The sequence below is a fragment of the Homo sapiens genome, chromosome 5, assembly GCF_000001405.40.
Source record: "Homo sapiens chromosome 5, GRCh38.p14 Primary Assembly".
Taxonomy (NCBI): Eukaryota; Metazoa; Chordata; class Mammalia; order Primates; family Hominidae; genus Homo; species Homo sapiens.
The window spans coordinates 94,607,523-94,629,645 of record NC_000005.10 but is presented as its reverse complement, the minus strand read 5'-3'; the positions used below and the strand labels follow the sequence as shown (position 1 = coordinate 94,629,645).

The window sequence follows — 22,123 nt, the reverse complement described above, 5'->3', positions numbered from 1 at the left end:
TAGAGGAGAAGACTAAGTCTTAATTTGGGTCTATAGTATTTAATATCTTAGAAAAATAAAATAGTATGACCATTGCTTCATAATATGGATAGAAGCAGCAGAGAGAACAAAAGCACTGCCTGTATCAAATGACAGATCAAAGAAAACTTGACTGAAAACAGCTGAGACTTTAACAAAAGCTTAAGATTTTGACATTTTGTGCCAGTCTTTTCATTAATGTATTTTTTTTTTGTCTTAAACAAAACACACTAAATCCTTGTTGAGGTAAATATTTCTGCCTATTTAATACATTTTTCATGTGTTACAAAATTTTACTTAGAAGAGTAATAAGCCAAAAAATATATTAAATATTTTCAAAAAATATCAGAAAAACACATTTAGGTTTGATATGTAAATATGCTATCTCTCCAGAGACTAAAATACTTTTGCTTTAACACGAAGATTGTTTTTAAAAGTTGGGGGAAGACAGTTAACTTACCTGCCGCACAAGCTGCTAAAAATTTTTCACTCTTACATAGGCGTTCAGCTATAAGATGTGTACAATTTTTGTATTTCTGGAGGGAAAAATCCACATCAAGAAATGTTACTAAAGTAAGACTCCCTTTATGACACATCCTTTTTATTGCTACAATATCAAGAAGGCATTTTATCATTCTTAGGCCAGTATTTGAATTGTAGTTATTTTTCAAATATATCTTGAACATTTTGATAAGTTTCTTACCTCACTCTTAATAAAAGTGCAATCTAGTTTTAAAAGTAATTTGACTAGCGCTTCTTTTTCTTCCATCTTAAATCCTGTCATCTGGATGATATGCTTTGGGGTACCATCTTCCATCTAACAAATACAAACATACAGAAGATAATGTGTGTTAAAGATATTATTCACAGGGTTGACATTATTTTTTCTTAACTATGAGTACTAAAAATAAACTATTAAACATACAATGAATTAAAGATGTTAGGCACAGCTGTTAAAACAATATTAAAATTACTTATATACGATAGAAACTAGTTTTAAAAGTTATCTTCTCAAAATGTGGCCTTAAGTGAGGGTTTTCTTTCTGATTTGAACATTGAAAGTCTGGATTAATACATTACTTGACACTAAAACACATTGATGAATAAATATACTTCTTCAGAAAATGATAGAATGTTATACAAATACTGGCATAATAATGTTATACAAGCTTCATTTAAAAAGTATTGTTGGGCTGGGTGCAGTGGCTCACGCCTGTAATCCCAGCACTTTGGGAGGCCGAGGCCGGCGGATCACGAGGTCAGGAAATCTAGACCAGCCTGGCCAACATGGTGAAACCCTGCCTCTACTAAAAATATAAAAATTAGCCAGGTGTGGTGGCAGGTGCCTGTAATACTCAGGAGGCTGAGACAGGAGAATTGCTTGAACCCTGGACGCAGTGGTTGCAGTGAGCCAAGATCATGCCACTGCACTCCAGCCTGGGTGACAGAGCAAGACTCCATCTCAAAAATAAATAAACAAATAAAGAAAGTATTGTTGGCCAGGAGCGGTGGCTCACGCCTGTAATCCCAGCACTTTCTTTGGGAGGCCGAGGCGGGCAGATTACCTGAGGTCAGGAGTTCGAGACCAGCCTGACCAACATGGTGAAACCCTGTCTCCATTAAAAATACAAAATTAGCCCAGCGTGGCGGCACGTCTGTAATCCCAGCTACTCGGGAGGCTGAGGCAGGAAAATCGCTTGAACCCGGGAGGCAGAGGTTGCCATGAGGCGAGATCACGCGATTGCACTCCAGCCTGGGCAACAAGAGTGAAACTCCGTCTCAAAAAAAAAAAAAGTACTGTTGTTCGCTAAGAGCTTTTGAAACCTACAGACAATGATACAATCAGATTTTATACTCCACAGAGACTTTAAAGTCTCTGTGGACACATATTAAATATGTATACGTTACTGGAGAAGTTAATAGAACTCATGGTCTCACAGCATTTAGTAAAGTGGGTACACATAATAATCCTAGATCCTATTTGCAATCCATATTTCTTAACTTTGCTATATATATATATATATATATATATATATATATATGTTAATTTCATCATTTACAAGGTAGACTGAAAAAATCACTTTTTGGAAAAAATCACTTTTTAAAAAAAATCTAAGTTTATTTTCATAGGGACCTTAATCCATATTTTAATGTAGTTCACAAAAAGTACTTTGTGTTTAGGGAGTACATAACTCACAGAATTTCTCATCAGAATACAATTCTGTTTGTTTACATGAAGTTGAACTGGAGAACTAGACAGCGTATTAGAGAAAAATCTCAATCTTTCCACAGACAAGCAAAGCAGGGACTAGAGAAATTAGGGCAATTTTTCATTTTTCTAACAATTTTGTCACCATAACTGTGGGTTATTAATATTTAACTAATGTCATAGCTAGAATAACAACAGTAGCTGTTTTCAATAATTAAAGAAACAATGACTTCTTTCAATACAATTACAAGTAAACTTTAAAAACTGTGACGATTTGAGCCCAGGACTAATAGCACGCAACTGGTGAAGTGAGAAATGTTCTTCACAGAGAGTCTATTTTTAAAGACATGTAAATGTAATATATATACATTTATTTAAAGGTTGAGATTCATTTAAGAGTAAAAATTGAAAGAAAGTCTCAATATAATCTAAAGCATTACTCAGAAGTGAACTTTTATTTCCTTGCTTATAGTTTTGAAGAGGAGAAGTTCAGCTAGGGTAACTGCACTCTTGGTTTTTCTCTACCCTTCATCACTCCCCATTTCGTTGGAGAAGCTCCTTGAGACAACTAAATGGATGTGCTTTGCTCAGTGTATCTGCATATTTGCAAAGAAGGTCCATATCAATGCTTTCTGACACATCCTAAGGAGCTGCCAGTAGTAGTCCTGCACTGCCTGTGTGGGTAAGTCAATTCGGAGGTTATGTACTAAGAAGCACACTATGGTTCCATATCAAAACTATCTCCTTCTTGCAGAAGGATGCAGAAAAAACAAACCAAAACAAAAACCATCATCTCCTTCAAAACAATGTTTACTCAATAAAAAAGCTGGTATTTCAACCTCAATTTATCTGATTTTTGCATTTCTCAACTGGCTGCAAAAGGGGCAAAGAGGTACAATGTATTTTAACCCTCTAAAACTCAGATACAGAACATAAGAAAGTGCCTTAAAGATAAGGCTCTCCAATGAAATAAATGCTTTTTAAAAAAAGTTACAGGGATTTGGTCTAGTCAGTATAAAATTTTTAAGTGCACATAATAGGGATTGGTCTCTTATGAAAAATTAATCATATACACGAAACACTATCATCAGTAAATAAATCAAGCTTCTTGTATAAGGAACCCTTTACTGTATTAATCATCCAATTACTTTTTTTTTTTTTTTTTTGAGATGGAGTCTCACTCTGTCGCCCAGGCTGGAGTGCAATGGCGTGATCTCGGCTCAGTGCAAGTTCCGCCTCCTGGGTTCACGCCATTCTCCGGCCTCAGCCTCCTGAGTAGCTGGGACTACAGGCGCCCGCCACCAGGCCTGGCTTTTTTTTTGTATTTTTAGTAGAGACAGGGTTTCACCGTGTTAGCCAGGACGGTCTCGATCTCCTGACCTTGTGATCTGCCTGCCTCGGCCTCCCAAGTGCTGGGATTACAAGCGTGAGCCACCGCGCCCGACCTAATCATACAATTTTTTAAAACCATTTACATGGGTTAATTAATGTAGCTCTTGAATGTTAATAACCATTAACAATATGGACCAGCAATACATAAAAACTATGAAGAATATGCTGTTGTTAGAAATAATAATGATTTAGTCTGATGCAGAACACATATGAACACACACAAAAAAGCCACATTTGGATTATAAAACATATGTCCACAACTAGGGAGAAATGCTTTCATTATTTCTAGGGAATTATTTCTTTAAATCCTTTAAGCAAATTTCCTTTAGAAAATGATAGGTCTTGGCCGGGCATGGTGGCTCACGCCTGTAATCCCAGCACTTTGGTAAGCCAAGGTGGGTGGATCACCTGAGGTCAGGAGTTCGAGACCAGCCTGGCCAACATGGTGAAACCCCATCTCTACTAAAATACAAAAATTAGCCAGGTGTGGTGGCAGGTGCCTGTAATCTCAGCTACTCGGGAGGCTGAGGCAGAAGAATTGCTTGAACCCAGGAGGCGGAGGTTGCAGTGAGCCGAGACCACACCATTGCACTCCAGCCTGGGTGACAGAGCGAGACTCTGTCTCAAAAAATAAATAAATAAATAAAATTAAAAAATAAAAAGAAAATGATAGGTCTTTTTAGAAATGCTGGACAAGTGAAATCCAATATATCTGTGAATATCATCTTGGTATTCAATCAATACTTGTTTTTATCTAATTGGTTTTATCAAAAACCACTGTTATCAGTAGAATACAAGAGTTTTTTATTGTTTAATATTTTTTTTTTTTTTTTTGAGACGGAGTCTCGCTCTGTCGCCCAGGCTGGAGTACAGTGGCACAATCTCAGCTCACTGCAAGCTCCGCCTCCCGGGTTCACGCCATTCTCCTGCCTCAGCCTCCTGAGTAGCTGGGACTACAGGCACCCACCACCAGCCTGGCTAATTTTTTTATTTTTTGTCTTTTTAGTAGAAATGGGGTTTCACTGTGTTATCTAGGATGGTCTCGATCTCCTGACCTTGTGATCCGCCTGCCTCGGCCTCCCAAAGCGCTGGGATTACAGGCATGAGCCACCCACCCAGCCGAGGAATACAAGAGTTTTAAACACATATGCTTTTCCTACTACTTGTATATTTTTAATGTATTTTAGAGTTTCAAGGTCTATTTAATGGCTATTTCAGGAATATTGCCAAAGAAGTCTGGGTGGTTTTAAAAAGTCTAAAATCTTGCCTATTCTAAAAATTGACGTATAAAAACTAATGTTAAATAATCGGAATATACAAAAAATAATAAAAAAATTGTTATAACACTGTTACCCAAAAGTTTCATTTAAAGCTTGTCCTTTAAATTTTATTATTCTGCTTCCTCAGAATTAAACAAGTTATACAGAAATAAACATATACTATGTTGCTGTTTCCAGATCATGTTAATAGCTATTTTACAATTTGATTATTAATAAGGTAACATTTTAATGTATTTTGGTTTCATGTATAAATTATTAAATTATTTGGATTTACTGGAGTTAGTGTGTAAAGCAGTTTTCATCTTAAACCATATGGTCTTTATAATAAAATAAATATGATGGAAATGACCCACTTTGTATATTTAACAGCATTTTCTGTCAAAGCAAGAGCCCATAGTAAAATGAAAATAGGACTAACTGCATAATAGCAGAAATCAGGAAAGCCTTTTAAAGCAATTTATTTCCTTTGAAAATGATTAAATATGAAACTGAAGTTAAACATGCGGAGGAAAGGGAAGTAGGAAACAAAGGTGAAAAAACAGAATGTCCTGATTCAAACATTATCCATAAAATATGGATATGTTTAAAGACAAATCAGAATACAGGACATTCTAGTCACAAATTTATCAGAAAAACTGAGCTACTAGCTAAACTTTAACAGAATCAGGAATCCCAGTGACGGCCCAAAATAACTAGCACAGTTTTGTAACAGTTTTCTAGAATAAAATTATCTACTTGAAACAACAGTTTATAATACATTTAGCAATGCTTTTTTACAGCACATGATATGACAAGTGAATGACCTGTATTACAGGATCTAATTCATGCAGTTACACAGGAAAACTATATATGTAGGAATAGATATAAACATGTATAGATATACTGATTGATTTATTTATAAAATTCATGGTTTGATGGTTCTTTCTGACCCTGCAGGATTAAGAATACAATAAACCTGATATGTTAATGAGGCCAAAAAGAGCACTATAATTGGTTTAACATATATCAATAACCCAGACAATTAAAAATCCTTTAAAGTACAGTCAAGTTTAGTGTAAGTGATATGTCTGAGGTAGGGAGGATCAAGAGCTAACTTCTAGAAGTCTTGCAGCACAAGAAGGAAAGTAAATATACCATAATATAATTGTACCAGTGGTTATTTTTAGAAAAATTATAGATCTTTCTAGAACTAATAGGGGGTGTTCCTTGGAGCATTCATACAGAAGATACTATCTTAACACCAAAAAAAAGGAGGGAAAAAAAAAGCAAAAAAGAGAGCATGACTTCTGACAGTTAAGTTTTATTTTTACTGTCAAAAAAATTAAAATTATATGACATTCTTGGTTATGAGAAAATGTCCTTTTGTAGTAATTATTAAAATCTTATCTATAATTAACAAAAATTAGTTACTTACCTTGAACAATAAAATACAACTAAGGAGACAATGACTATAAACAGAGTTGGCCTTTATGCATAGCAAGCAACTGTCTCTGTGGTATGGAGTTTCCCAAAATATCTCCCACATGGGCCTATTCTTGATGCCTGAAATTCCTTTGTAGTTGGTGCCAGTCCAAAATGCAAAGAAAACTTATAGAACTCTTCATCTTAATTAAGAACACTATTTATTATAAACTAGCTTTTTAGGTTCTTTGAATTCTTTATAATGTAACACATAGCTAGAACATGTTTGAAGAACATGTTGAAAATTGAGCTCAGAGACAAGGAAAGACAGGAATACAGATATGAATACAAAAGTCTGGTTTGAGAGGCAAGATGAAAGAGCAGGGTACAACCCTTGGGAAAAAGCGGAAGGTGCTACAAAAATGAGAGACAGGGATGCATAAATGGGGTTTTGTAAGGAAAATAAGGATAAACTTTTCCCTACTCTACATTATATAGGGCTGGTTTCTTTTATAACCAGCCCTACCCATAAAAGAGAAGTAATCTTAGAAATAAATTGTATGGTATCATTAGCTAAAATAAATATTTAAGACTTAATAAAAAAACTTTGATTTATATATTTATATTTAAGAACTAAAGTTTTCCCCCCAAAATAACCTTTACAGACTTGTCTTTCAATTTTAACATGCACTTATTATAGAAAATTTGAAAAATATTACAAAGTATATAGAAAGATTAAAATCATCTCTAATCCCTTCAGCCTGTAATACCATTGTTAACACTGGGGAGGGATGTTGACTTTTAGGTTTTATCTGAGTGTAAAAAATATATATAACAAAATTTGGATATTACATTGTTTCATATCTTCATTTTTATGTAATGTTATATTGTGATCATTTTTCCATGCCACTTAATACTCTTCATGGTTTTAAGGTCATGATGAAAACTAGTGGTTTCTCAGTGTTTGTTATTTTGGTGAATTCTTTTGATTTTAAACCTACTTTTACAGCAAACTAAGGAAAATTATTTGAAACTCCCCTCATCTGAAAAGCATATACCAAGCACTGAATGCAGTCAAGATTTCTGCTCTGAATTAAACAGTCTGAAAAATTTTCATTTCTCTTATTCAAAACATTTAACTGGGAAAGTAAACAAATAACTGTTAAAACTGAAAAGGGTCCAAGTGTTGGATCTCTGTTTGAACCAATATTGCAAAAGGTAGACACATGTCACAGTACTTATACTGTGTGTATAAAATACTGTTTGACGTTTAACTACAAGTGGCGTTTAGAAATTCTGGCCCCTTTAGGCCTAGGAGCCAAATTAGGCCCTTGGTTTAATATCATTCAGCTGGCCTTCAGACTTTTTTTTTTAAAGACACAGTGTCTATTTCCTGCCCCATCCTTCAAAGATAGGAGAGATGCACACGCACGTGTGTATGTGTGTGTGTGTGTGTGTGTGTATAAATATTAATTATTTGACAGAAGCATCCAGTGATGAGACTTGAGGGCTGTTCTTACTTCCATAGCATTATTTGGGAAAGAAGCAGTAATTAGTCCCTCTGATGACAAATTTAGCGCTAGAAGGAAGAAACAGAACAAGCCCCAAAGTGAATATGGTGAGAAAAAAATGAGAAGCTTAGGAGGACATACGGAGATGTCCAATCTATCCAGTACTGTACAAGGCACAGGCTGGGCAGATGTTAATTTCGGGATGAAGGAGTCCTTAAGGAAGCAAGTTGGTCAAGAGAGGAAAGGTTCAGAAAAAGAATAGGTGGACAGTAGATATCGGTTAGCCATAGAAGTCAAATGTGCTTTGGTATCCTAGGAAATTTGGTTTACTTAGAAGGAAGACCATACGTCTAAGGTTGAACAAGCAGGATTTAATTTTTATGGAGGACCTACTGTGGTTTATACCACAGTATATATGTTAGCTCATTTCCTTCTTCACAACATAAGTGCTATTTATTTTTCTTGTGCAGATGAGGATACTGGGAAATCGGAGTGATTAAGAAACTACTTCAAGGGTACACAGCTAGTAAATGGTAAAAACAAGATGCACATATAAGTCTTTCTGCAAAAACTGTATGCCTTTTCTACAATACCAAGGTGAATTAAATTGCAGAACTTAGTCTAATACTTTTAACCACATTATAATTTCATAAAGCAATCTACTTTCAGCTAACACAAAAGAAAGATACATTAAGTGAAAGAACAGTACAAGGGTGGGAAGACATTTAGAACAGCAATATCACTGAAAAAATTTAAACATAATTATAAATTATTTTCAGTAAAATAACAGTGCCTAAAATTTCAAAGCATTTCTAGAAACAATCTAAAGAGTGCTCTTTTTGTCTAATGAGAAACAAAGTTTTCATTATTTTCCTCTCAAAAGTGATTTGGTATCAATCATTAGAGTGATTCATATGAGAAAGTCTTTCTTCCTCCTCAAAAATAACCAGACAGTGTATTTTAAATTTCAAAGTAATTTTGATAGAAAGTATGAATTAAGTGAACTTAAAAGTTCCAGGGTTATTTTACTTTTAAGCAGTAACATGCCCTTATAAGGTGAAAAACAGTACATAGTACATTATACAGATATATTTTCTATTAGTATATTCAAAGAGTCAACTACAAGAGTAACAGATGATGTCTCATTTTAGTTACATTCTTGAGAGAATTCGTTTTGTTTAGGGTTTATTATTCAAAGCCAACACAGAATTTTTTATTTTACTTTCTAAAAAAGTTTTATTTAAATGGTGAAAACCCTACTTTAGGGTAATATAATCAAGATACATATAATAAGGAAAGTACTAATAAATAAAAGCTATACTATTGGTTTCCCAAAACGCAATGTTTTTGAACATCAGTGGAAAATGTGGATGCTTATTACGAAATCTTCAGTTCTGAATTTTGATTATGAAAAGTAACCACATTTGATCATCTTTTCAATGACTTTCACGTGATCCACGCTTTATGCTTTAGGGAAGCAAGAAAATGTTAGGTTATATAATTCAATTTTACTTAATAACGCATAATAAAATCTGGATTTAGAAAACAGAATAGGGGTTTATTTGCAGTACTGAAGGTTCGCTGTCTTTACAATAAAATTGACTTAAACATTCAAGTATTTGAACATCCTAGTTCCTTTAAATTAAGAATACTCAAGAGTTACCCGGTGGCTCACGCCTGTAATCCCAGCACTTTGGGAGGCCGAGGCGAGCGGAACACTTGAGATCAGGAGTTCGAGACCAGCCTGGACAGCATGGTGAAACCCTGTCTCTATTAAAAATACAAAACATTAGTCGGGCGTGGTGTCGCGCACCTGTAATCCCAGCTACTCGGGAGGCTGAGATAGGAGAATTGCTTGAACCTGGGAGCCGGAGGTTGCAGTGAGCCGATAGGCACTGCACTCCAGCCTGGGCAACAGAGCAAGGCTCTGTCAAAGAAAGAAAGAAAGCAAAGGAAGGAAGGAAAGGTAAGAAAAGAAAATAAAGAAATATACTCTTTAATATAAATTCACCTCATACTAGCAACTTAGGTATTGAACACCTGCAATATACGTAATCAAACTTTCCAATAATGAGAACATCTTGCACATCCACAGGTATTTCCAAGAATTGAGGCACAACGGAATAACATAAACCAAAAAGTCCACAAGGTGCATTGTCTGTCACACATACATTGTAAATTCAGTTCAAATGTTCATTCCCAATATTTCAACAACAACAACAAAATTTTTTAATAAAGTCATTCGTCAAAAAAGAGGCTGGCGCCTCCAAAATCAAGCTCCATCTAACTCCTGAGTCAAATAATGATATGAAGTACCCGAGACGGACCAATTTTTTTTTTGTCAATATTTAATCTGAGGCTTTGGAAGTGGAAGAAATCTTAAAATAGCCACTCAGTCTTGTTTCCAGCCTTCAGGCAGCTGAAATATAAACCCCAGGAACACAGACCCTCCCTTCAGCGAAAAGTGTATGTGTGTATGTTTGTGTTTAAAGGCCTATAGCAGTCAGAGATAGGATCACTGCCGTTTTAGCAGTTTAAAAAAAAAAAATTCTACTAGAGAGGAAAGAATGACACAATTTTCTTCGTCACAGGAAAGTGGGCCTGGGGTATCCCAGCCACCTTCGCAGACGCTAAGTTATGGAAAGCAGCCAAAATTCTGGTATCAGGATGAGGCGTCCCCATGGGTTCTATGGAAACGAGAGACGCGGGGGGCCTAGCGCCTTCCAGGCGGCGGGCCGAGCGGCAGAGCTGCGCAAGCAGAAGCGGGGGAAGTGGCTCAGCCCAGTACTGCAGAGGGGCGCTCGGTGGCAGTCCCCGCAGCGGCACGGGCGAAGCGTCGCGGGGTCTGCAGCTGCAGCCCACCAACTCCGGCGCCGAGCGCGAAGTCGGGAGAGCTGGAACGAACTGCAGCTGGAGAAAGCGCGAGAGCCAGACACCGCTGCCGCTCACCCCAGCCGCTTCCTTCCTAGCCTCACAGCCGGGAGGCAGAAACTTCGGAGGTACCGCCCGGCGAAGAAACATCCCCACAGAGACAGAATACACTGTGTCTTCCTAGCTGAGCCCCTTTACCTTCCCGGTGTCTGGGATGCTTCCTTCGGTGGCAGCGGCGGCAGGGGCGACGACTGCCGCTGCAGCACTCAACTGCTTCACGAATCCGGGCTCTGGGAAACAATTTCCCGCCGCGCGCTAGGCAGCCCCGGAAGCGATAGTACCATTTCCGGGTGGTTGTCAGTGACGCTCCGGAGCCGTCGCCAGGGTGGTAATACCTGGTGCAGAGCTTGAGTCTGGCCAGCGGGTCAGGCTCTTGCTAGATCAGCACCGGAGGTGGAAGACTGGTAAGTGATTTTACTGGGTTTTCTCCTGCGCCTGATATTAATGGCTGGCCGGGGCTCTGTGCAGCATTATGGCCAGCCCGAGAAGTGAGTGGGCGAGGGTGGAACCAGAAGGAGTCCCCATCAAACCCCGTGGCGCTTGACACCCAGTGCAGCTGGAGAAGGCCCTGGGATCCCGGCTTACCGTCTTATCCACTCGCAAAATCTGTCTCCGACTTGGAACTCGACCTCGGGTCACCAAGTGTCCCTGGGCGAGGCCGAAGACACCGTGTACCGTGACTCGGCGTTGTGCCGAGTTTCTCTACCAATGATCAACGAGTTTCCTATCTCCCATTGGCAGCGTTTGGCCACTCTTGATTCCTGAGTACTGTTTCCGTAGTTCTGGGGTGCCGTGCCTGGAAGGCAGGAGGTTGGCTGAAGAAGACATCTTTTACAAACATTTAGGAAGTGAGATGGGGAGGTTCCTTCCTGATTTAGAATTAATTGAAGGTTCCTCCCGCCATTTGAATTGGATGAGAAGAACGGTCTTTGTTTTCATGGCTGAGACATAAGAGAACAAGCTTGTAATTTCATGCTTGGGCATTAGATGCATTTTTGGAAAGCAGTGATCAGTAAGTATGTGTGCTTTCAGAAAGGAATGCTTGCGTTCTGCTCCAGGCTTTGTCGATAATGAAGGATTCAGGAGAATTTTGGATGGAGGTCTGAGGTAGCCAGAATAGTTGTAAAGAGAAATTGCTTCCGACAAAGGGATAATGTGAGGAAAGGTGCTCATTTAAGATTTGAAAGATGTGATGTAGTGAACCTTGGCGACTTCTCTTAAGTAATGCAATTTCTTAGGTAACTAGTTTTCACTTGCCACCTTATATTTAGATAATTACCTCCCCACCAACCCCCGTAAAAGGCAGCTGACTGTTATTTTTTCAAAACAGTCAGTTCCCGAAAGAGTTGTAGGTACTATTGCATTTTTTTTATGGGTATGCTCCTCATACCCATAAAAACATTTTCTTTATCGGAGCATACCGATAAAGAAAAATGCAATATGTTCAATTCAAGGCCCCTGTTAACACCAGGCCAGTGTCTTCTTAACCTTTTGAGAGTAATGCAACAAACCATATTTAGGACAGCACATTGATTTTCTGGCCTTGTTGGTTAATAATTCAACAAACTTATAATCGCCCCATTAATCCCAATCTTGACATTTTGTTGAATCTTGTATTTTTTCTTTATTTCTCCAGTTGAAAGTATTATAAATTACTTCAGGGATATTATGTATTATATCTGTACAGCAACTAGTTTTTAGAGGCAGTGATTTCTCTCTTTGAATTGCTCTTGAATGTAGCCAATCATTAATACTTACCCCAAGTAGATACTGTCTGCCAGGCACTTTACATTTATTATTTTATTTAATGTTTAATAAAAAAAGAAAATCACAAAAATTGTATTATTTCTATTTTGCAAAACATTTTATACTGAGACCCAAAGAGGTTGTGATTTTCCATAAATTATACAATTAAATGGCACAATTAAAATTTGAATCCAGTCTACCTGACTCTAAATTTTGGCTCTTTTTACTGTGCTCTATACCTTTATAAGTAAACATAACAGTATCATTATTTTCACTCCAGGTAAAAATGGATAGATAGTATGTCACATTTAGAAATCAAGTGGATAGCAAAACTTGAGGATAAAAGGGACTTAAGGGATGTGTTCATCACCATAAGGTAATTTTGACATCTAAATAATGCAGTTTCTTTAGTGCCTTTATCCTTGGCCAGTTTTATTATCCTAATTCAAACAAATGCCTATACTGTACATTAGCATAACACTTGGGGCAAATGCAGAAGATCTGGAGACCATCAGCAAGCATATTGGTGACTGAGTCCAGAGTATCAGCTAACTATCTCTTTAGACAGCTTTTCACACACACATTTGTATACATGTATATTTGTGTGTGCATGTGTGTGTGTGTGTGTAGGGAGAAAGAATGAGTAAATGAGCACAAATTCATAAAATTCAACTTTGTAATGATTTATAAGGAATTATTAGCAAAACTGTGCTGTTCCACTCACGTAACCCTCAAACAGATGGGGATTATCACATAGTTTCAGGAATATGCTTTATTAAACCTGCCCATCCCAATACCCAATTCTATATAGAGAAACAGAAATAGCCTAATTTTCAGAGAATTTACAAAAATTTAGTTGAAATGACCAATACTAGAAATGACATAGAAGTTAATTCTAAAGAATATCCTGTTTTACAACTGTATAGGTATAGCTAGCCTGAAATACTAATGTGTATTTGATTACATTGCATTGACTTGTAGGCAGATCCCGTAGGCAGATCTCAGGGATATTTTGCTATCAAATTTCAGTGCTTATGAAGTTTGGGATTATGTCTGTTTTGTTCGTCATCTCAAACCCAGCATCTAGCACTGTGCCTGGCGTGTAATAGAAGCTCAATAAATAAGTCAGGAACCATGACTCATGACTGTAACCCCAATACTTTGGGAGGCTAAGGCAAGAGGATTTGAATCCAGATCCTCTAAATTTTGGCTCTTTTTACTATGTTCTATACTTCCTTTAATAAATAAACATAGGTCACAGTGAACTATGATCATACTACTGCACTCTAGCCTGCACAACAGAGTAAGACCCTGTCTCTAAAAAATAAAAAATAAGCATTTATTGAATGAATGATTCCTTTTTAAAATGTTATTTATCCACCGAGAAGTATTTGTACATTTTTTAAAGGATTTACCACATAAATAAATATTTATTTTTACTCACCTTGCCCCTGAAATACAGTGTCCACTCCACACTCATTCATAAAAGGCAATGTGCTGTCCTGCAAAGAAGACTGGACTGTGAGACAGGAGATGAGAGAATATCTAATATTTTTCTGTGTTTATTCTCTGCTATTCAGTGTTAAATTACTCCTTACAGCACAGTGGGTAAGTATTATTATCCTCCTTTTACAGATGCTAAAACTGAGGCAAAGATAAGCTTTGTAAATTGTCGTAGGTTACGCATAGTCATTAAACACAGCTATGATTTGAATGAAGGGCTCTGATCCCAAAAGCGATAATCTTAACCACTTTGCTAGCCTCCAGTTGAATTTTTAATCCTGGTTCAGCTGCTAAATGTGTGCAAAAGCTCTGGGTATCATGTTTCTCATCTATAACATATAGGAGTTTGATGGATTATATTATCTGTAAGGTCCCTCCTACCTCAAAAATCCTCTGACTTTAGTTGACTCCTAAGTATTATCTGAATATAGCAGTTCTGGAGTGCCAGAAAACCCTCATCAATTTTGATGTGTTTTATGTAAGCTTTTATATGTGTTCACGTCTTCCACATTGGTGGACACACAATCATGTTTTTGCAATAGGAAGAATAGAGTTAAAAAAATCACAGCCATGCTTTTTTTTTTTTTTTTACCAGCTATGACACTAATAAGTCACTGAACCTTTGTGAGCTTATGTTTTCATATGTAAAATGGATCCATAGGATTGCTGTGAGCGTTAAGTGGGTTGACTTATAAAGCCTCAAACGTGTTGTCTGATACACAATTGCTGATAAATAAATATTGATTCTTTTTCTTGCTCAGTCTTGCAAGGATAAAAGATTAGTGGATATGAAAAATGCTTTATAAATTAGACAAAGGTGAAGAATATTTTCACTTACAGTCTACTAGGAGAGAGAAAGTTATATAAACAAATAATTATATGTAGGGCAATTTACATACATCATTGAACACAAAACATGGGAATGCAAAGAAAAGAGATTTTTTTTTTTCCAGGAGGGCAGATGAGGAAAGACCTCATAAAAAAGGTAATATTGAGTTTGTGCCATATAGGATGGAAAGGATTTTGGCAGGGGAACAAGAGGGACAAGTGTTCTACTGGAAGATGCAAAGGTGTCAGAAAACAGAAATAGTACCTAGGTCACTTTGGCTATGTAAGATGGATGAAGGCTGGTAATAAAGCTGAGGTAAAAAGCTGAGTTTAGGACAAGCTGTAGATAACTGTGGGCAAGTTAGAGATGTTAGGCTTTTAACGATAAGCAATAATCTGTGTGTATAACTAGGATGGGGTGGAGGATGGAGTTGGCATTTGTTTTCTTTGTTATGGAAAAACGCCCATTTGTTACAGAAACATTAGAGTGTACAAATATGCCAAAAAGGAAAGAGAAAGGAAGAGTGGCCCATGACCCCACCACTCAGAAATAACTTATGATTTTTCTCTGTATTACAGATTTGCATATATGTGCTTTTAAAATAAAAATGAAATAATACTGTCTATATTGTCTTGTGACCTGCTTTTTTCAATGTGCTATACCATGAATTTTTCCATGTCAATAAATTTGCTTCTATAAAATAATACTTAGGGCCTGTATGCTATTCAATTTTATGAATATGTTATAACTTTTAAACTGACTTCTTTCTGTTAAGTAATAGTACAATAAAGGTTTTTATAGTAAAATATTTAGACATATTCGTATCTATTTTCTTATTACAATTTGTAGAAGGAGAAATGGTCACCCACAGGATATGAACACATATAATACTTACATGTATTGCCATATTAATCAAATTTTTAATTGAAACTTGGTGCAAAATTCATAAGGTATGAAAGGGTATATAATGAGGCGTTAGCCTCCCTCTCACCTCGTTGTCCTCCTGACTCACAGCTAGCCCTTATAGCACCTTGTATGATTAGAAAAGGGCACCCCCTTCTGGAGGATCCATAACTCTTGGATATACACTGTGTAACTGATGCTACTTTTGTAAGGATTGGAAAAAGGCATCTTTTTCTCTATGGCAACAGCCCTGCAGGGACACATGGCTGGGCCAACAAAGTATGGGTTGGATTCAGCCCCTACTGACCTCCCTAGATTGAGTACTTTTATGACAGGTACTGCACCTGGCCTTTTTGACTATTTACTTTCTAAAAGCCAACACTAAAGCCAAATGCAGACTTTGTTAAAATACAGAAGACAAGATTGGCCGGCGCAGTGACTCATGCCTGTAATCCCAGCACTTTGGGAGGCCAATGCGGGCGGATCTCTTGAGACAAGGAGTCCGAGACCAGCCTGACCTACATGGTAAAACCCCATCTCTACCAAAAAAATACAAAAATTAGCTGGGTGTGGTCGTGGGCACATGTAATCCCAGCTACTCCTGGAGTCTAAGGCAAGAGAATCACTTGAACCCCGGGTGGTGGATGTTGCAGTGAACCGAGATCATGTCACCGCACTCCAACCTGGGTGACAGAGTGAAGGATTCTCTCTCAAAAAAAATACAGAGGACAAGGTCAAACTTTAGTGCATCCCTTGAAATACATACATCCCATATAAAAAGTTTTAACAACTATAAAAGTTCAAAACGAGACAATGTCATTTTGACTAATTAGGCAATGCAGTATAATGTAAACAACTGAATTCAGAGAGGACCTGGGGTTGAGCTTAAACTCATGAACATATAATGATAGCCTTGAAGAAGTTACTTAAATTCCCTGAGCCACAATTTCTTCATCTGTAAAGTAATACTATCAACTTTACTAGGATTAAATGTAATACTGTGTGTAGGTACACAAGCATCAGAAAAAAATTATTAAGGTCTCTAGTTTTGTTTTGTTTTTAATAAACTCACTGTTTTAAATTAGGGTCTGTGGCTCTAACTATGAAGTCAAACAGACTTGGATTTGAATCCCAACTCTGTCACAGTTGTGTGACAGTCACAGTTGTGTGACAGTGTGAAAGTTACTTTTCCACTGTTTCATTATTTGTAAAATGGGAATGATGATGTCTTCATAGGCCTTTTGTGAAGATTAAATAAAATAATGCATGTATAGAGTTTAATATGGTGCCTGGTGTAGTAAGGCACTTTATTTGTTCAAATTCTCCAAAAAGCAGATGCCAAGAGGAGGTAAGATGTACAAGATGTTTATTGGGGAGACTGCTTGTGAAGAATGAAGGAGAGTGAGAGTAGGAAAGAAATGCCTTCAGGCCTCAATGCACGTCTGACAGCCTAAAAAGAAGAGAAGGAAGGAAGAAAGAAGAGTTGAGTAAGAATATCAAAGTGCTACACTCTTCTAAGAAAGCTTCAATTAGGCCAGTGCAGAGTCCAAAAGCCAAAGTCATGTATTAGAGGAATCCCATGTTGCCACGGTATTCAATGTTAGGTATTAGTAAAAATGATCAACAGTTGTCATCTGCTAAAACTTACAAATACATTTGAATTTCAAATCTTGAATTTTACTCCCTGTGCCACCCCCTCCTGCCCTCAAGAAAAGTATAATCCCTACTGCCAGACATTGATACTAACATTTGGGTCATATGTTCTTACACTATCTTCTTATATTTTATAATACGGTTTTGTTAGCCAGAACAGTTAGGAATCAAAACATCTGTTCCCAGTAACAGTTTAGAAATGCAAACATTAGCTAAACAACTGATTTTTGGCATCATGTGGTTAAACACACTATTGTCTAAATTTCTAAATTCAGGTAGCCTATAAATATAGTGTAAATCTTTTTTTGTTTGTTTGTTTGTTTCTGAGACAGAGTCTCACTCTGTCACCCAGCCTGGAATACAGTGGTACATCACAGCTCACTGCAACCTTGAATTCCTGGGCTCAAGGGATCCTCCCACCTCAGCCTCCCAAGTAGCTGGGGCTACAGGTATGCACCACTATGTAAAAAAATTTTTTAATTTTTTTGTGCAGACAGGGTCTCACTGTGTTGCCCACCCTGGTCTCAAACTCCTGTACTGAAGCAATCCTCCTGCCTTGGCCTCCCAAAGTGCTGGGATTACAGGCATGAGGCACCATGCCCAGCCTCATGCCTGTAATCCCAGCACTTTGGGATCCATGGTTAGAATATTAGCCTAAAACTTGAATGTCTATTTGCATCTTTACCAAAGATACCTCTGTAGCCACAAAGGTAAAAATATAGTTTCATAGGATCCTTCCCCCCAGCCCCCACCACCTTTTTGTCATTTTTAATAAGTAAACGTAGAGATCCATAAGTTTAGTGCTTTTCAAATGGCAGGTTATAAGCCATCAATTTGGTTAGTCATAGCCTGTATTTTTGTTTCAGATACATGGTGGTTTCAGGATTGGGGATATAAAATGTATTTGTTATTGGGAAACAGCTGAATTTGAAAACAACTGATTTAGATTAACTATCATACACGAGGAAATGAAGATTAAAGAGGCGATTTAACATAATGGATAACTCAGGAAACATGTGACTTGAACCAGAGGCTAGGTCTTAAGAATCTAAATTTAGGGCTTTTTCTTTTTATCATGCTTCCTGGAAAAGGCTTCTTTTTTGTGCTATTAGTAGGGCATACAGTTATTCCAGTTGGGTGATATGATAGTGCTTTTCTGTCACTTTTGTTATTTGTTTGCTAAGATTTACTAAAAGACACTTCCCTGACTTTAGCCATGGTGTATCAGGGAGGTTGTACAGCTGCAGTTGTTTCTAGCAACTAGCAGTCATGCCACACCACCAGTTTACTGTCCATTTTCCTTCCAGGGAGCACAGCTAATTCAACACTTTAAGGAGTTTAAACTGAGCAGTGATAGGAACTCATTTTGAAGAGCGTTATACTGATGAGGTCTGAATTTTTGTAATATAGACGAGTATTTTGTGCTTCACTGTGTCATGACTTTTTTTTTAATCTTTTTATTTATATATATATATATATATACTTTTTTTTTTTTTTTTTTTTTTGCAGATAGAGTCTCGCTCTGTCACCCAGGCTGGAGTGCAGTGGAAGGATCTCGGCTCACTGCAACCTCCGCCTCCCAGGTTCAAGCAATTCTCCTGTCTCAGCCTCCCGAGTAGCTGGGACTACAGGCACACAGTCCATGCCCAGCTAATTTTTTTTGTATTTTAGTAGAGATAGGGTTTCACCATGTTGCCCAGGCTGGTCTTGAACTCTGAGCTCAGGCAATCTGCCTGCCTCAGCCTCCCAAAGTGCTAGGATTACAGGTGTGAGCCACCGTGCCCAGCCCTATGTCATGACTTTTCTTTTTTCTTTTCTTTTTCTTTTTCTTTTTTTTTTTTTTGAGACAGTCTTGCTCTGTCACCCAGGCTGGAAGGCTGGAATCCAGTGGCGCAATCTCAGCTCACTGCAACCTCCACCTCCCAGGTTCAAGCAATTCTCATTGTCTCAGCCTCCTGAGTAGCTGGGATTACAGGCATGTGCCACCATGCCCAGCTAATTTTTGTATTTTTAGTAGAGATGGGGTTTCACCATGTTGGCCAGGCTGGTCTCGAACTCCTGACCTCAAGTGATCCACTCGCCTTGGCCTCCCAAAGTGCTGGTATTACAGATGTGAGCCACCATGCCCAGCTGTCATGACATTTCTTTACCCGTCCTCCTTGACTTTTCAAACTTTAGCTCATCAAATATTTTTCATTTTAAAAATGCAAGTTTTGTGTATAATCACATAACAATGTATTCCTTTAAATTTTTTCAGATATATAATTCTTTCCTTCTCTAGCATATATTCATGCTAGCCATCGGAAATGCTCATGGCAGTTCAGTTCTTCCAAGGTGATCCAGTCTGTCCTCTACTGTTAAGAGCTTTCACTGGGAAGGAATTTAGGAGTGGGGCTGGTTGTAAATGGGGACCTTCTAGGCTCTGTTTCTATGTTGCTTTCTTTTCTTTCTTTTTTGAGATGAAATCTGGCTCTCTTGCCCAGGCTGGAGTGCAGTGGCACAATCTTGGCTGACTGCAACCTCCACCTTCCAGGTTCAAGCAATTCTCCTGCCTCGGCCTCCCACTCCTGCCTCAGCCTCCCGTAGGCTCAGTTTATATGTTGCTTTCTGTACTCTGGTATCTTTTAGTGCTGCCAGTGCTTATTCTTTTGATTAACTTTACTTGGTAATTATCTTTCTAGGGCTTTCTCATTTGTCTAACTCAGCAGTTATCAAACTTTTGGTCTCAGTAATCTTAAAAATTACTGAAGACCTCTTTTATACTCTTAAAAATTACTGAAGACCTCAGAAAGTTTCTATTTATGTAATTATATCTACTTATATTTTTTGTATTATAAATTAAAATGAAATATTTTTGACAATATTTAAACAAACCACTACATGTTAACAAAAACAGCTTTAAAAAAAAGCTATATTTTTCAAAACAAAAATTTTAGTGGAAGAGTGGTATTGTTTTATATTTTGCAATGTCTCTTCAATGTCTGGCTTAATAAAAGAGAGCTGAATTTCAGATCTGCTCCTGCATTCAGTCTTTGGTGATATATTGTTTTGGTTGAAGTAATAAGCAAAATCCAACCTTACACATGTATGTAGTTGGAAAAGAAGAGAGTTATTTAAATGGCTTTTTCAGATAATTGTGAATATTCTTCTTTGATCACCAAAATTTAACAAGTGGAATTTTATTAAAATTTAGTTGCAGTGTAGAATCTGAAATCATATCAGTTTATTTTTGGTACACTATTACTTTAAAAATCCCTTGGTCTATTTTGTACTTTTAATAAATCTTTTACAAATACATAATTCTGTTACATAATATACCAGCCTTTTGGAAAATATTGATTCATTGAGGTATGCTGATTTTCCAAATCTTAATAGATTTCATTATACAACGTTAAAAATTCCCATTAGTTAATATCACCAGTAGTCTCATCAGGAGACTCTTGTAGTATTGGAAAACTGTCCATCTGACAGTATACAAATTTTCCAAAATTCTAATTTTTGCTTGGAAAGCTCAAATTTTATCATTGGCAACAAATACGGTCTGATGTTTTCATTGAAGTTACAGCCCAATTTGATTAATTTTGAGAAAATATGTAGTGTATACAAAGGTTAATCAAAGTATTAATACTAATTTTTGGCCAGGTGCAGTGGCTCAGGCCTGTAATCCCAGTACTTTGGGAGGCAGAGATGGGTAGATCACTTGAAGTCAAGAATTCAAGAACAGCCTGGCCAACAGGGTGAAACCCCATCTCTAAAAAAAAATATATATATATATAATTATATATATATATATATTATATATATAATATATATATATACACACACACATACACACACAAAATTAGCCAGGTGTGGTGGCACACACCTGTAGTCCCAGTTACTTGGGAGGCTGAGGCATGAGAATCACTTGAACTTGGGAGGTAGAGGTTGCAGTGAGCGGATATTGCAGCACTGCACTCCCTCCTAGGCAACAGAGTGAGACTCTATCTCAATAAATAAATAAACAAATAAATAAATAAAAATAAAAGTAATTTTTACTTCCTATCGAAGACATAAGCAAACCTGGCATTATTCTGAGTGTGTAATGGTGAAAAAAATACAATGAGTACTGTGGTAGGCAGGATAATGGCCCCCATGAGATACCTACATCCTAATACGTAGAACCTGAGACTATGTTATGTTACATGGCCAAGGGGAATTAAGGTTACAAATGGAATTAAGGTTGCCAATCAGTTTACCTTAATATAGTGAGATTATCTTGGATTATCCAAGTTGTCTCAATGTAATTACAAGGGTTCTCAAAAGTGGAAGAGGGAGGAGAAAAAGAAATCTGAATAATGCAGTGGGAAAAAGACTCAATCCATATAGCTAGCTAGAAAATGGAGGAAGTGGGCCACAAGTCAAGGAATGAGGGCAGCCTCTAAAGCTGGAACATGCAAAAGAAACAATGATTTATCCCCAAAATCTCCAAAAAGGAATGAAGCTCCGCTCACTACTTGATCTTAGCTTTGTGAGGCCTGTTTCAGACTTCTGACCTAGACAACTGTAAGATAATAATTTTGTGTTTTTATGCCGATAAATTTGTGGTGATTTATTATAGCAGCAATAGAAAACTAATATAACTTCTTGTTTTTTGTTTGTTTGTTTGTTTGTTTGTTTTGGAGACGGACACTTGCTGTGTCACCCAGGGTAGAAGGCAGTGGCATGATCTTGGCTCACTACAACCTCCGTCTCGTGGGTTCAAGCT

The 22,123-nt window shown here is 37.3% G+C and overlaps 2 protein-coding genes across 41 annotated transcripts in view, besides 4 other annotated features; one reads left to right on the top strand and one right to left on the bottom strand.

The window, feature by feature from the left end:
- The window catches only part of SLF1 (SMC5/6 complex localization factor 1), a 79,391-nt gene extending 67,976 nt beyond the window's left edge, over window positions 1-11,415 (bottom strand). For 6 of the 9 annotated variants that reach the window (NM_032290.4, XM_017009981.3, XM_024446235.2 and 3 more), the window contains exons 1-3: window positions 10,881-10,977; window positions 722-835; window positions 479-554 (exon numbers count right to left, since the gene is read on the bottom strand). In NM_032290.4, the coding sequence (NP_115666.2) occupies window positions 479-554; window positions 722-835 (190 nt within the window). In that variant the 5' untranslated portion in view covers window positions 10,881-10,977. Of the gene's footprint in view, window positions 1-478; window positions 555-721; window positions 836-10,880; window positions 10,978-11,327 lie in introns of those variants that run through there. The other 3 variants (XM_017009979.3, XM_047417830.1, XM_047417831.1) reach the window with 1 other exon arrangement.
- Window positions 10,256-10,365: an enhancer, noted in NCBI's record as "active region_22792". NCBI's record gives its function as "activates an Ori minimal core promoter by ATAC-STARR-seq in GM12878 lymphoblastoid cells {active_cell/tissue: GM12878}" and the evidence as "EXISTENCE:reporter gene assay evidence [ECO:0000049][PMID:35858748]".
- Window positions 10,756-10,935: an enhancer, noted in NCBI's record as "active region_22791". NCBI's record gives its function as "activates an Ori minimal core promoter by ATAC-STARR-seq in GM12878 lymphoblastoid cells {active_cell/tissue: GM12878}" and the evidence as "EXISTENCE:reporter gene assay evidence [ECO:0000049][PMID:35858748]".
- The window catches only part of KIAA0825, a 467,754-nt gene continuing 456,672 nt past the window's right edge, over window positions 11,042-22,123 (top strand). For 23 of the 32 annotated variants that reach the window (XR_948246.3, NR_169751.1, NR_169752.1 and 20 more), the window contains exon 1: window positions 11,042-11,146. The gene's annotated coding sequence lies outside the window, so the exon portion shown is untranslated. Of the gene's footprint in view, window positions 11,147-11,520; window positions 11,755-17,704; window positions 17,826-18,885; window positions 18,960-22,123 lie in introns of those variants that run through there. The other 9 variants (NM_001385712.1, NM_001385728.1, NM_001385722.1 and 6 more) reach the window with 4 other exon arrangements.
- Window positions 11,164-12,028: an enhancer, noted in NCBI's record as "H3K27ac hESC enhancer chr5:93953323-93954187 (GRCh37/hg19 assembly coordinates)". NCBI's record gives its function as "activates a minimal SCP1, AML or CMV promoter by ChIP-STARR-seq in primed H9 embryonic stem cells {active_cell/tissue: H9 hESC(primed)}" and the evidence as "EXISTENCE:reporter gene assay evidence [ECO:0000049][PMID:30033119]".
- Window positions 11,246-11,425: an enhancer, noted in NCBI's record as "active region_22790". NCBI's record gives its function as "activates an Ori minimal core promoter by ATAC-STARR-seq in GM12878 lymphoblastoid cells {active_cell/tissue: GM12878}" and the evidence as "EXISTENCE:reporter gene assay evidence [ECO:0000049][PMID:35858748]".